Source organism: Homo sapiens, chromosome 7 (genome assembly GCF_000001405.40).
Source record: "Homo sapiens chromosome 7, GRCh38.p14 Primary Assembly".
NCBI classification, from domain to species: Eukaryota; Metazoa; Chordata; class Mammalia; order Primates; family Hominidae; genus Homo; species Homo sapiens.
In genome coordinates, this window is record NC_000007.14 from 53,560,794 (window position 1) to 53,576,905 (window position 16,112).

Genomic DNA, 16,112 nt, shown 5'->3' on the forward strand with positions numbered 1-16,112 from the left:
CTCCTGCTGCCATGTAAGACATGCCTTGCTTCCCCTTTGATTTCCATCAGGACTGCAAGTTTCCTGAGGCCTCCCCAGCCATGTGGAACTGTGAAACAATTAAACCTCTTTGCTTTATAAATTACCCAGTCTTTGCTATTTCTTTATAGCAATGTGAAATATGACTAACATAGTCAGTTTTTTAAAAAGATTAATTACAAATAGCATTGAAGAGGATGTGGAGAATCAGTCATTCATAAATTATTGATAAAAATTTGTATTGGAAATGTAGTTTATCAGGATATTTTGACAATATTTAACAAAGGTAGAAATGGATATATATTTTGAACCAGTAAAAACCCCTACTAGGAATTTATTATGCTCATCCATGTGGACAATGAAGATAATATACATTAGTATGTAATAAGCTTGAAACAAATAACTTGGCACAATCTTGTAAATTTTAAATTATATATACCCTAGGAAGCATCAGGGATAATTACAAGTGGATATCCTAAAGCAGTGGTTCTCAAAGTCTGGCCTTTGCACCTCTGAGAATCCTCAAGACTTTTAATGAGGTCCATTAATTCAAAGCTATTTTCACATCTGCACTATGATGTTTTACTTTAGTTCTTTCACTGTGTTGACATTTGCACTGATGTTGCAAATGCTATGTGATTCACACTGCTGGAGTTCTGTTAAAAATGTCTTCATGAAGACACATGAGGACACACGGCATCATCAAACTGTACTAGCACTTTTTATTATTCACTACCTATGTAAGTTGCAAGCTGAACTAGCCACTTTTTAATGAAATATTACTTTTACTTGTAAGACTGGCAGGAAAACTAATGCTTTAGCAGCTATTTTCATAAAAATTAACAGGGAGCCAGTAATTCCAAGGAAAGCATTTGATGGCCTTTGTTGCCTGTGATAAAATGTGAGCATTCAAGTGATAATTAAAATTTTTAAAAACGTGTCCATCTATCATCATGAGCTTGATAGTTTCCCTATCTTAAAGACTTTTCTTATGAGAGGAGCAGTGACACTTCTCTCATACTATGTGAGATCAAATTTGATTTTTGTGAAAATGTAAACTCCAATTTGATTTTTTAAAATTTTTCATTGGAGGTATTACCACTTGGAAGAGCCATGTAACTTGGTGAACCAATATTTTCCAAATGACCAGTGTCTGAAGTTACAAGGTCGTGGATGAATAAAAGGTCCATTCAAAGTTCAAGATAGAGCAGCAGATTTTAATGTTATAGAGATTGAAATAGTCACTAATCCCACATTGCAAGTAAATTTTTAAAAATTACCTTTTGCTAAGTTTAATGTGTTATCAAATAAGAATATCCATAATAATCTAAAAAGGATTTTAAAATTGTCTTCCACTTTTCAGCTACATATCTGTGTGTGTCCCAACAAATTTAATGAATAAGTAGCTATCAGATTTCAGTTGCCTTCAATTAAGTCAATCATTAAAGAATTTATAAAAACATAAGCCAATTTTAATTTACTCAGTAATTTCGCTGTTTTTTTGGGGAATATACTCATAGTTTTCATTAAAAGTGATATTAATTAAGTAATTGGTTGATTTAAGCCAACTTGTTTTATTTGGCAAAGTAAAATAATACATAAATACTATCCAGCAAAAAACATAATATGTTGATATTAATAATTTCAGATTTCTCTTTGGCCCATTATATGGTTTTATATTTATAAAATGACATTGATTGTGATATATACCAATAATGTTTTTAAATGGATAAATAATAATTCTATATATTTATTGTGTACATGTTTTGAAATACATATACATTGTGGAATAGCTACGTATAGCTAATTAACATACTCTATAATGCACATACTTTTTTTATAGTGAGAACACTTAAGCCCTACTTTCTTATCAATTTTCTGGAATACAATATAGTCACCATATTATATAGTAAACCTCTCTCGCTTATTCCTCTTTTCTAACTGAAATTTAGTATCCTTAGACCAACATCTCTCCCCATTTTCTAGTCTCTGGCAACCACATTTTACTCTACTTTTGTGTGCTCAACTTTTTAAGATTCCATATACAAGGGTGATCTTGTGGTATTTCTCTATAGGAAATACCACATGGCTAATTTCACTGTCAACACAATTTCCTCCAGGTTCTTCCACATTGTTGTAAATGACAGTATTTTCTTCTCTTTTAAGCTGAATAGCACTCCATTTTGCATATCTACCACATTTTCTTTCTCCATTCATACAATTGATAAATGCTGAAGTTGACTACATAGCTTGCCTATTGTGAATAATACAACAGTGAATGTGGAGTGAATATATCTCTTAAAAATTTTTATATCAACATAAGTAGATTTATTATTTTAAATGTACTAACAATTTTAATGATAATTTTTAATTTCTAATATGCAAAAATTGGTAAGATAGAATTTAAACAGACGCTCTTTGAGGTCTTCAATAATTTTTAAATTACAAAAAAGTTTGAGACCAAAATGTATAAGAACCACCATCTTAGAAAAGCTCATGCAGCCTGTAATCCCAGCACTTTGGGAGGCCGAGGCAGGTGGATCATGAGGTCAGGAGATTGAGACCATCCTGGCTAATACGGTGAAACCCCAGCTCTACTAAAAATACAAAAAATTAGCCAGGCATGGTGGCGGGAGCCTGTAGTCCCAGCTACTCGGGAGGCTGAGGCAAGAGAATGGCGTGAACCCAGGAGGTGGAGCTTGCAGTGAGCCGAGATCGCGCCACTGCACTCCAGCCTGGGAGACAGAGCGAGACTCCGTCTCAAAAAACAGAAAAACGCATGCAGTTGTGCAACAGGATAGATATTAATAGCAATAGTGAACATAAATGTTAATAATAATATTCTTTGTAATCAATGAAAATTACCTAAAATTTAATGTTAATTAACAATTGGATAGAATAAATTGTAGTTATTCACAAAATAGTATACTACGAAATGATGACAAAAATGCCAGAGGTTGGGTGAAAAAAGCAAAAGTCAAATAAATTAACCATAATCTATGGATGGTGAAATTATAAAGAGGAGAAAGAATGTGATCATGAAAAAGGCAGATGGAGTGACCATTACTTTGGGGTGAGGGAAGCATTTGGGATTGAGGTGGGACTTATGAAAATATTCTGTACTATTAAAATTCTGCTCCTGACCTCTGTGATTACATGAGTAAACACTTTATAATTATTAACAAACTCTCTATGCTCTTTATTGTTATAAAACATTATTTGTTTAGCTACTATTGGAGAAATATTTTCTCATGGGTTAGTTGGTTTCATTCCTGAGTATAATTAAATCATTGCATAATGAAAGAAGGTGGATTTAGAAGTGAACCAGAACTAGATATGCAGTCTAGCATCACAATTTACTGGGAGAGAAAAGTTACCCAATTTATTTCACTTCTCACAGTTTCATTATTCATTCTCCCTAGGGATGACAAAATTGGTTTCATAGGGTTGCTTTGAGCTTTAGTGAGATCTATAATGCAGCAATTGGTTGGCAATGCAATATAATGCACTTCTTCCATTTCTGTATCTGTTATTTCTAAGAAGACATCTCTGAAATCATTGTATTTTCTGGACGCCAGAAGTACTTTGTTCAGGAGGTATAAGGTGAAGGCTTATGTGAGCTTATTGCTTTCCTCATGACAACAGCTGCTCTCTGCTGTTTGGACTGAGTGAAGTGGATAGACAGTTGTTACCAACATGCAGAGAGTTTCTTAAGAGGAATTACCAGATAACTATAAATTGAAGTATTGAGTCAGGAAGCCAACAAGAAATTTGTGTATAAGAAATAGCAGTGAGGAGACAGTCTCTGGTAAGCACTTTTTGAAGTTCCAGGTGAGCAAAAAAGTCTCATTTATCTGCCTGCAAAGCAATAAATACTTGGAATTAGCTTTTTGGGATTAGCAGCTGCCAGGATTGTCAATGTCTGCAAATTAACATACTTATTTTAGAAATAGGAAAATGGCCTACACACTGAAAATCAATAATGAAAATCTTAATCCATACATAGATGCCTAATGTTAGTTCTTCTTGGACATTTTGATGTGAGGAATCCTTTGCTATCTTAAAATTCACAGATACATGTATCAATGTTAACCATATTAGAAATTAAACTGAGAAATTTAAAATGTATGCATTAAATGATTTATTTTAAAATAAACTCATTAAAGGTTAGTATAAATATTTTATGATAAATAACTATATTTTTAAGTAAAAATATATATATTGAGAAGAGTTGCATTGCTTTACACTTGGCAAATATGGCTTTAATGCAAGATAGCTTTATTGCCAAATGAGTTTCTGCAGTCAATCTCTTGTAATACTATGTGTAGTCTCTGGTAAACTACTACTCTCCACTTATGAGAGAATGAAACTGTCCACTTATGAGAGAATGAAAAAGACAAAGAAATAAAATAGTATTTTGAAAATAGTTCTGCATAGCAGACTTCCTGAAACATCTTGAAGATCCAGGTACACTTTGAAAACTGTCAGCCCAGAATATTGATGAAGCTCAGCAAGTAGGGGTGTGAGCAGGCCCACAGGCTGGCTCTGCTTGGAACATCAGCCTGCTGCAAGTACTGCCAGACTGTGAACTCCTTAAAGGTAGAAGCCATGGTGGATAGGGAAAGAAGTAAGGAGAAGAAGAATCAAAGGACATTACAGGTTGAAATGGGATTCTAGGCTGCTCAGGTTACTTTATAGTGTGACATGCCGTGAGGCCACCACACAGGATTTCCTGCATCTTTCCAATATTTGGAATGTGCTAGAATATCAGCAATACACAGACTAGAGCAGTAATCAAAATAAAGCATTTGCAACTCACTTCTTTGTCAAGATGTCATAACCAGAACTAAATATCATAAGGGATACAAGAATACCTCTTCCCTCGCACCCATTTGTCATGGCGTTAGACATAGATTTAAAGATGTCATAAAAATAAACTACATATTGTTAGTCTTTGACTCTAGGAGTAATACATGGGTTTTATGTTCTATTTGGGGACGTAGCAGGAAAGAGCAGGATCATTACTGGCAGAAAAGCAACTGTTGCTGGTGTTATCTTCAGGGAGGGGCAATAGGAAAGAAGACAGTGTGCTAGTTCATGTTACCTGAGGAGGCAACAAAAATCACTACCCACGTTACTCTCTCTCAAAATTATTTTTCTTTTGATTTTTTTCTGTTTCAATATAAAAAGAGATGAAAATCTGTGCGTGGACCTGCCAATTTTAGTTTATGTCTTCTCTAGATGTTTTCATACGAGGAAAAGTAGGTAACTTTTTTTTCATACCTGGAAAAATAAGTAGCTTAAAATGTTCTCCAAGAATGTTACTTTATTCTTACTAATCTTACACTGATTTCATGAAAAATAAGATGAGCGTAGAGTATACTGATAGCTTCTATTCTCCCACGTTGAGCTTCAGAGACCAGATAAACCTTGGTAGTGCCAATTTCTAAATAGAACAGTCCCCTAAAGTATAGTATCATTTACATAACTAAAGAGGAAATTAATTCTTCAGTTTTGAAATTAAGTTAATGACTAGAGTTGTTGGGTCTGAAGCTGGACCTCTGTAACCTAAATTCATTTTTTTTTCAAAATGAAATTGTAATAGTAATAATAGTATCTATCACATTTTGTTGCTAAAATAGTTAAATGCTAAGCACCTGGCATGTAGTAAGTGCTTTTTTTTTCCCCCGAGACAGACTCTCTCTCTGTCGCCAAGGCTGGAGTGCAATGGCACGATCTCAGCTCACTGCAACCTCTGCCTCCTGGATTCAAGTGGTTCTCCCACCTCAGCCTTCCGAGTAGTTGGGATTACAGGCACACACCATCATGCTCGGCTAACTTTTGTATTTTTGTAGAGACAGGGATTCACCATGTTGGCCAGGCTGGTCTTGAACTCCTGACCTCAGGTGATCTGCCTGCCTCGGCCTCCCAAAGTGCTGGGATTACAGGTGTGAGCCACGGCACCCGGCCATGTTCTTTAAATATAAGTTGTACGAATAGTATTAGCTCTGCAGTGATCCCAAGTAGCATCAGTTATAGTTACAATAACAAGAGCAGCAAGCTCTTTGGGGAATCACAGAACTTCAACAGATATTAATTGGCCTACATGGGCAATGCTGCCTCATGATAAAGGGACACTACAAATGTTTCACTCTCACTTCCAGGCTCAGCAAGCAATATGCTTAGGACACAGACCCCAGATTTCAGAATAAGATATCTGTGCTAAGTGCTAATATAATGCCTATTATCTAATTCCTTAATTCTTCAAAAATAGATAATCTAAAAGTGTTTACTTAAATCTAAATCCCAGTGTTGCCTCACAGAGATTAGTTGAGCTATGACATTTCACATTTAACTTCTGTTCTAATGCTAGCCATTGAAGAGTTTAACTATTAAAAGTGCTAGACATATTCTCTATGAACAGGAACAATCCACCCGCCTGACTCAGATGGGTTTTTCCAAACCAGGGGCTCTTGACAAGCAGCATCTGCATCCCCCTGGTGCTGATAAGAAATGCACATTTTCAGTCCCACCCAGCATGTAGAGAATTGGAAAATCTAGGCTTGGGGCACAGGAATCCATGTTTTATCAAGGCCTCTATTTGATTCTGATTGACTCTAAAGTGTGAGAACCACCAGTCTACACATCAGCCCCCTCCACAGGGAAATGTGGCAAAACATGGCCAGTGTGTGGTCGTGCAGCCAGTTTGGGAGATAGTTGAGGCTGCCCCACTTTGTCTCGAAGGCTCTGCACACAAGACATACAGCGACGTGGGTCCTTTGCAAAGCCCAGCCACACAGGCCATCAGAATTGGTGACATGTTTAAAAGATCAGACCTTTGGTGGGAGAATTGAGGCATGCAGACACAATTGTGCAGACAGTGTGAATTTGGCTGAAGAAAAGTTATACATGAAGGAAGCTAGGTTGGTCAAAGGACAAGCTAGGCATGAAAAGAAGTCTTATAATTGAGATAACTCTAAACTCAATCCCATTAAAATAATAATTATGATAAAAACAATTAAAAAAAACAGTAATTGGACATAGCTAGAAATATCACAAATCCAGGCTGTACTGACTCAGAAAGAAGATGTAGGCAATAGTTCTCAAATAGGACAATTTTGTCACTCCACCCCAGGGCATGTTTGGAGACACTTTGGATGTCACAACTGAGGGAAGAAGATGCTACTAGAATTTAGTGGGGTGCTACTAAACATCCATAGTTCATCAGACTGTGCAACAGAGTACAGGACTGTACAGCAGAGAATTATCTGGCAAAAAAATATCCACAGTACTGAGCTTGAGAAGCCCTAATCTAGATGCACGTAGTGATAGATACATACATTTAAAGTTGCCCCATGTCCATCCAGTCCATTTACATTATTCCAAGAGTTTTCCATTTTAATTCACAACCTATTGTGAATTTGATAGATGAATTTCTATAAAGTTAATCAATATAATTAATCAGTAGAGGCAATTTTAATCATTAATACAGTAAAAAGAAACACTTTTTTTGGCTGTGCAAATCGACCTGAACTCAGGGGCTTTTCTGTCTTTTCTTTCATTTATTCTGAGGAGTAAAGATATAGCCTCAGCAACACTCCTCATGGTCCAATTTATTAGTTTCAGAAAAAGAATAGAATGACATGGAGAATATAGTCTGCACATATTTGACTTTTATCTCTTGCTCATTTAGCTTCAGCAACGATAGAAAAAAAGCAAAAAAGCATTCACTAAAAGCTGTTTGGGACTGCCTAGCTCCCTCTTTATCACACAAATTGACTTTTTGCCAATGTTTTACTCCTGTTGGCTTCAATTACATAAGAATTAATTTTGCCTGGCACAGTTAGTCAGTGCATACTTAAGGTATAATATTCTAAGATTTTGGTAGTAATTCATTTATACTGTGTCTATTAAATAGACTTAAAGCTATCTTGAATTTAATTGGTAGGCCAATTTTTTATACTACTGGCCAGTGAATCACCATATCCTTTTTTAAATAAGTTGAGACCTGTCATATCTATGTTACAACCACAGATGACATTCTGCAGGTGCACTATAAATGAGAAAGAACTTTTACAAAAGGCCTTAAAAGAGGACTTTCCTCAAATACCAAACCAAAGATAACAAAGTCTTTTTAGGTGAGACTTTCTTTACAATCAGAATATAAATGTGAGACATTGGTGAGGTATTTGTTGAATAAACCATATGTTTTCCAGCTATAAAATGTGTCACTTAAACTACATGTCTGATGTCACTCCTCCTTTGGAAGTGAAATTTGATAACCCTTTGATTCTATGAATCTTGCATATATGTATAAGAGTCAAGTATGGGTAGTATTTGAATATTATTCTATGATATTATGTTTTTATGTAATATACATGTTATTTATCCCATAAAAAAATTGAATAATGTTATCTCAATTTAAGTAAAAAAATAGACTGACAATTTTCTATAGTACTTCTAAAGTCTTCATTTGCAGACATATCTTCAAGGTCCATTGCGTACATACAAATATAACCTTGGGTTCACTTATTTATTGTTGTCCCAGCTAAATTCTACAGTTTTGTGGTTGGTAAAATAAACATCTATGTGTTATCCATGCAATCCCTCAATACACACAGAAAGTATATATTTATGTGCTGTATAGAAGAATATTATTTCCCTGACATACTTTGGCTAGTACAAACTAAAATATTCTACACAACAAGGAATAGACATTGAAAGAAAAAATCATGGGTAGCAAGCTTTTTTTTCCTTTTTTTAAACATTATTACAAGTTTCAATAGAGCCTTCCCCTTGACTACATAAAAAGTAATCATTTGCCCATGTGGTTTGATGAAAAGATTCCTCAGCTGTAGCAGTCTTCCTTATCCTCAAGCTTGAGCAGAGCAAGTATGTAGCATGCTGGAACTTTATACTAGGTGTGAAGCTGAGCAAATAGCACTGAAAAATTATACCAGAAGTTATTTGCAAATATGAATGTGTCGAATAATATTGAAATATGTCAGGATTTTCTATTCACCTTTGCTATTAAATTATATCTTAATCTCTCTATGGTTAAATAAAATACTGAGAAGCCATGCAATTCTTTGAAGTTTATTGATATTTGCTTTATACGGCCCATATTTGGTTAAAATTAATAATGTACCTTGTGCACCCAAAAGAATATGTGTTCTGCCATTGCGCAGTAAAATGTCATGGTTAGTTATATACGTGTAGATAGATAGATGGTAAACAGTTCATAGATAGATTGGATTATATACTATCTTCATAAATTAACACACATGTGCATATTAACATGCCACTCATTCTTTGACCTCTATTTTCATGCTAACACTTTTCTCTCTCTTTAAAAACTAGCTGTTACTTCCAGATTATTGTTTTAGTAATCTAATAAATTACATTTTTGTAAATAAATCATTAATCAGATTAATAAATTTACAAACTAAATAAATAATCCATATAGTCTGTATTAGTCAGGGTTCTCTAAAGAGACAGAACTAATAGGACAGATATATAAGTAAACAGGAGTTTATTAAGGAGTATTAACTCACATGATCACAAGGTCTCACAATAGGCCATCTGCAAGCTGAGGAGCAAGGAACCCAGTCAAAGTCCCAAAGCTGAAGAACTTGGAGTCCAGTGTTTGAGAGCAGGAAGCATCCAGCACGGGAGAAAGATGTAGCCTGTGAGGCTAGGCCATTCTAGTCTCTTCATGTTTTTCTGCCTGCTTTATATTCTGGCCATGCTGGCAGCTGATTAGGCCCACCCAGATTAAGGGTCTGCCTTTCCCAGCCCACTGACTCAAATGTTAATCTCCTTTGGCAACACCCTCAAAGATACACCCAGGATCAATACTTTGCATCCTTCAATCCAATCAAATTGACATTCAGTATTAACCATCACACAATCTTATAATCCATGAATAATTTCACTGTGAAATCCTTCCTGAGTTCTCTTGTAAGTGAAAAGGTTTGGTTCTGTGTCCCCGCACAAATCTCATGTTGAATTGTAATCCCCGGTGTTGGAGGTGGGCCCTGGCAGGAGGTGATTTGATCTTGCGGGTGGTTTCTGAAAGTTTGGTGCTATCCCCTTTCTGCTGCTCTTGTGATAAGATTTTCATGACATCTGGTTATTTAAAAGTGTGTGGTACTTCCCATCTCTCTCTTGGTCCTGCTCCTTCCATGTGAGACACCTGCTCTCCCTTTGCCTTCTGCCATGAGTAGAAGCTCCCTGAGGCCTCCCCAGAAGCAGATGCTGCCATGCTTCTTGTACAGCCTGCAGGACTGTGAGCCAATTAATCACCTTTCTTATAAATTCTTGTATTTCTTTATAGCAATGCAAGAGTGGACCAAAACAGTAAGTATTCACATATAAATATATAAATTATATATATATAGATATTCAGTAAAATGAGATCATAATAGGCATCTCTTTTGAAACATTCTTACCACAGATGTAATTCTATGAATATATTTCCATGACAACCTAGACTCATGTGGTCATTTGTAATGGATGCATGATATTATATTAAATGAATTTAACACCCTTTTTCCTTCCTCAAATGTGCATGAAGCCAAAGATGGTACTATTTTTTTTTCTCTTTGTGCCTGTGTGTGTTTCTTGAGTGTTGGTTGCATTGAAAGCTACTCTAAAATCTATCTCTCAAAATTATATTAGCTTATATGTCAGTTTCCTGATTAACCTTAAGAAAATGTTACATTCTTAAAAAAATTCATGTTTACGTGAAATGCTCTTTCCCTATTCATATGCACATTATACTTCCACATCTAAATAAGAACATATTTTCTTCTGACACTTTGCTTAAAATCATGCAGCTCCCTCTTCCTTCTCCTGGGTCTGAGGTGAGCCCAGCTCATTTCAGAGTTAATACCACATGGAAGACAGCTGAGGAGGAGCAGCGGTAAGAAAAGCGGCAGTGGAGGATTTCTTCATTTTTGATACTCTCTAGCTGAACAGTAATTCTGCCCTGCCTTGCCTCACAACTCTCCTGGCCTGGGAGAAGAGACATGTGTCCCTAGAAGAAATTGAATATGACTGACTGATGGGAACACAGGTGACTCCTTCTTATAAACCATGAAACAAATTTGCGCTTTTTATTTTCTTATAGTTAAGAGAAAACCTTATATAAATTGGCATGTGAATTACAAGAACATGGCAGGGCATGAAATTTCTTGAAGAAAAATTCTTTCTTTTGTCTTGTAACACATTATGAATTTTTTTAAAGAAAGTAAAGGTGGATATATTTTAAACTCTGATTATTATATATTCGGTATTGCTATTTACTGAGACACTAATATCTATTTTGTCTATTTGTTGAAATTTGGGTATTCTATTGGCAGTGGAAAAACATGCACCAAGAACTTATAAACTAAAAATGCCAAATTGCCAATTATTAAAGAAGAACTCTCTGTTGGAGTGATAGGAGCAATCTAGGAAAAGTGTATGCTTAATATGCATACATCTTCACATATATATACATACCTATACGTGCATGTATACATATATGTGTGTAGATAGATCTAGCTTACATAGCTAGTATTAGGACTAGAAAAAGGTTGACAAAATTTTCAATCATTAAAGATTTCATAAAGCCCCAACCCCAAGTAGAACATTTTGTGTCCTAATTGAAGTTATTCTTAAAAACTATGACTGCTCATTTACATATGAAATTAAGTATTTTACATATCAGTTGAACTACTTTTGTGAGAACTTTAATGAGGAGCAAAAATGATATTTATTCTCTAGGAAATCTTGATTGGCATTTTAGGTTATAGAGTATCAAACACATATTTCAATGTATTTGAGAATTTATGGCCTGTCTCAAGTCCATATAGAGACTGATGAATAGTATGGTAATTATTTAACTGAGAAGGCATTTGTTTTATTTTTTATATTAGAATATCTTAAAAGTGTCTTAAATTGTTTCATCCTAGTGAGTGTGGATGTGGATTTAAATATGAGCTAAAAGCCGAAGTCTTTAAATTCCCAATAGAAAATTTAAATCTTAGATTCCTAAGTCCAAACACAATAAATAAAAGTTACCAGGCACAAGAGTTTTATGCCAGTCAAACTTAAAAATAATATTCATATAAAGCAATCCAGAGTGTGGAGGCTCTGGATTGGTTTTCAAATAAGGAGGAATCATACAAAGTTGCAGCTTGAGGTACAAGTAGATTTTGTACAAACTCAATTTTTTCCCTGCACTATTTGGCACACACTGCAGTTTGCTCTTTTAAGTCAACTTTTTCTCAATTCTGATAATGACAAAGTATCATCTTTTTATAACGTATTTTCTGCTGAGTACAGTTTTTAATATTTCAGAGAAAAAGATATTACTGATGCAGAATGTTCATTTGCACTGGGAAAATGGACAAGGACTTTATGAAAAGTTGATTCAAATCTAGGGCTTGCACAGTGCCCAAGCTTTTTGAATATTTATATTTTTGGCTATACCAATGGCAAGACAAACATTATAAAATGAAAGATTTTACAAGGAAAAGAAGAAAACTTGTGTGCATGCGATGAGAACTTAGAATGGAATAGGAAAACCTAGATTGTAGTGTGTGCAAGAAAGAGTAAACTGGGCAGGTCTAGATGCTCAAACCCTAAACACTTTTAAGAAAGCCCTGTTTTCTGAACTGGATTTTGGTTGGCTCCAAGGGACCAAGCTGTTGGAAAATCCTGTCTGATAAGAGTGTTTTGGCATGCCTGAAACCTTGAGCCACACTCTTCCCATTTGTCCAGATAAATTATGGTAAAACTGTGATTTAGGATGAACATCTGCTTTTTCTATGGGGGTTTGAAGCTCGAGTAACTGAAGTCAATCACACAGGAACTATAGCCCTGTAAAGCTAACTCTCAATGAAAACCCTAAACACTAAGGCTCACCTGAGCCTCCCTGGTGGGCAGAATTTTGCATGTGTTGTCTCACATCATTGTTGGAAGACTTAAGCACATCCCATGCTTCTCTCCTTGGAAGGAGCACCTGAAAGCTTAGACCTGATTTCCTCCAGACTCCACCCCATGCCCACCATATGCCTTTTCCCTTTGCTAATTTTGCCCTCCATCATTTTCCTGTCATAAACTACAACCATGAATATAACAATTTCGAAGTCTTATTAGTCCGTCTGATGAATCCCTGATCCTCAGGGTACTGGGGACACCGCATGAAGGGTGTATAGAGTTTCTCTGCTCAGTTCCCCTGGGCCCCTCTCCATGAATCTTACAATTGTTTCTCCCATTAAAAGTGTTTTTTAAAATCTTGGAGGAGTGAAAATTGTGGATAAGAGGAAGGGTTAAGTTGCAGCTCCCACTGGGACAGACAGAGCAGCGTGTGGAGACACACATCATGAATGTTTGCTCCAAGAACTACTGCAGAAACATACCAGGAAAGCTGAGAGAATCCACAGACCCTCTGAAGGAAGTGGATTGCTCCTGCAGGACCCAGAAAGCAGCTCAAATACTGTGAGTGCCCAAACTGTGAAAATGGGAAATGGAGATCATCCACACTCTCACTGGGGAACCTGAAGGTCTGGATCACATGAGAAGATTCTGACCTTACCTGGAACTGGGTCATTTAGAAAGCTGAGTGAAATACAGGGGTAGAAGAAGCAGCAGGAAAAGCCCTGTCAGCTCCTTGGGCCCCAGGGAAGCCATTCCTGATTTGTCTCACAGGGGTCCTTGGGGAGGGCTGCCAGAAGAACTGGAAAAAGACCACAGTGAGAAGGAAACATCCAGCTAAACTTTGTAACAATTCCAACCAACTGTGACATCTCCTAGTCAGAACTCTGAGGAGGGCACGAATCCAGTGTGCAGACTCAACAGGCATGAAGGTGCAAAAGCCTTGCTTGCTTTCTCAGCGGGGACTCTGGTGGCCTGGGGCAAGTTCTTAGCCTCACTAACCCACCGTCTGGAAGCAAATTCCTTGCTATTAGGTGGGGTGCGGGGGGGCATGGTGGGAGTGAGACCAGCCTTTTGGGTTGCATAGGAGCTGGTTGAGGCCTGTAGCTGCCGGCTTTCTCCGACTTCCCTGACAAGCTGCATGACACAGCAGAGGCAGCCATAATTCTCCTGGGAACATAACTCCATTGACTTTGGAACCACAACTGCATCCCCCACAGCAGCTGTAGCAAACCCTGCCCAATGAGAGTCTGAGCTCAGACACGCCTAACCCTGCCTCCACCTGATGGTTCTTCCTTACCCACCCTGGGAGCTAAAGACAAAGGTCATATTCTCTTGGGCGTTCTAGGGCCCTGCCCACCCTCTGATTCTCCCTATACTACCACAGCTGATGCCCTCTTGAAAGCACCACCTTCTGACAGGAGGTCAACCATCACAAAACTAGCGCATCAAACATCTACAGGACCCTCACAGAGTCTATTTCACTCCCCTGCCACCTCCACTGGAGCAGGGGCTGGTATACATGGCTGAGAGATCTGAAGATGCTTCACATCACAGGATTCTGTGCAGGCACCAGTACCATCCCCGAGCCTGGTAGCTCTGATGGGTGGCTAGATCCAGAAAAAAAATAACAATCACTGCAACTTGGCTCTCAGGAAACCACATCCCCAGGAAAAGGAAGAGAGTACTACATCAAGGGAACACCCCATGGGACAAAAAATCTGAACAGAAGCCTTGAGCCCCAGATCTTCCCTCTGACATAGCCTACCCAATGAGATCTTCCCTCTGACATAGCCTACCCAAATGAGAAGGAAACAGAAAAACAATTCTGGTAAAATTATGAAACAAGGTTTTTTAACAACCCCCCAAAAAATCACACTAGCTCACCAGGAATGGATCCAAACCAAGAAGAAATTCCTGAATTGTCTGAAAAATAATTCAGAAGATTGAGTGTTAAGCTAATCAAGGAGGCACCAGAGAAAGGTGAAGTCCATCTTAAGATAATCTAAAAAAAAAGATACAACATATGAAGGGAGAAATCTTCAGTGAAATAGATAGCATAAACAAAAAACCATCACAACTTCAAGAAATAAAGGACACAGAGAAATGCAAAATGTACTGGAAAGTCTCAGCAATAAAATCAAACAAGCAGAAGAAAGAACTTTAGAGCTCAAAGACAAGGATTTCTAATTAACACAATCCAACAAAGACAAAGAAAAAGGAATTTAAAAAAATGAACAAAGCCTCCAAGAAGATTGGGGGTATGTTAAATGACCAAACCTAAGAATAATCGGTATTCCTGAGGAAGAAGGTCATTCTAAAAGTTTGGAAAACATATTCACGGGAATAATCAAGGAAAACTTCTCTGGCCTTGCTAGAGACCTAGACATTCAAATACAAAAAGCTCAAAGAATACCTGGGAAATTCATCGCAAAAAGATCATTGCCTAGGTATGTTGTCATCAGGTTATCTAAAGTCAAGATGAAGGAAATAATCTTCAAAGTTGTGAGGCAAAAGCACCAGGTAACCTATTAAGGAAAATCTATCAGATTAACAGCGGATTTCTCAGTAGAAACCCTACAAGCAAGAAGGGATTGGGGCCCTATCTTCAGCCTCCTTAAACAAAACAATTATCAGCCAAGAATTTTGTATCCAGTGAAACTAAGCTTTATAAATGAAGAAAAGATACAGTCTTTTTCAGACAAACAAGTGCTGAGAGAATTCACCACTACCAAGCCAACACTACAAGAACTGCTAAAAAGAGCTCTAAATCTTGAAACAAACCCTGGAAACACATCAAACAGAACCTCTTTAAAGCATAAATCTCACAGGACCTATAAAAGAAAAATACAATAAATAAGTAACCAAGGTATACAGGCAACAAATAACATGAAGAATGGAATAGTTCCTCACATGTCAATACTAACGTTGAATGTAAATGGTCTAAGTGCTCCACTTAAAAGATACAGAATTTCAGAATGGATAAGAATTCACCAAGCAAGTATCTGTTGCCTTCAAAAAACTCACGTAACACAGAAGGACTCACACAAACTTAAGGTAAAAGTGTGGAAAAAGATATTTCATTTATCTTTTGTAATTTTTTTTCTGTTTCAAATTCATTTAGTTCTGATTTGTTCTTGATTATTTATTTTCTTCTGCTGGGTTTGGGT

At 36.8% G+C, this 16,112-nt stretch overlaps 1 long non-coding RNA gene across 1 annotated transcript; it reads right to left on the reverse strand.

The window, feature by feature from the left end:
* Positions 1–3,381: 3,381 nt before the first annotated feature.
* On the reverse strand, positions 3,382–13,910 carry GS1-278J22.2 (uncharacterized). Its single transcript, NR_187904.1, has 3 exons — positions 13,604–13,910; positions 7,359–7,454; positions 3,382–3,876 (listed from the first exon to the last, which is right to left on the reverse strand). It is a non-coding gene; the product is annotated as an uncharacterized GS1-278J22.2 (long non-coding RNA).
* Between the last annotated feature and the right edge of the window lie 2,202 nt (positions 13,911–16,112).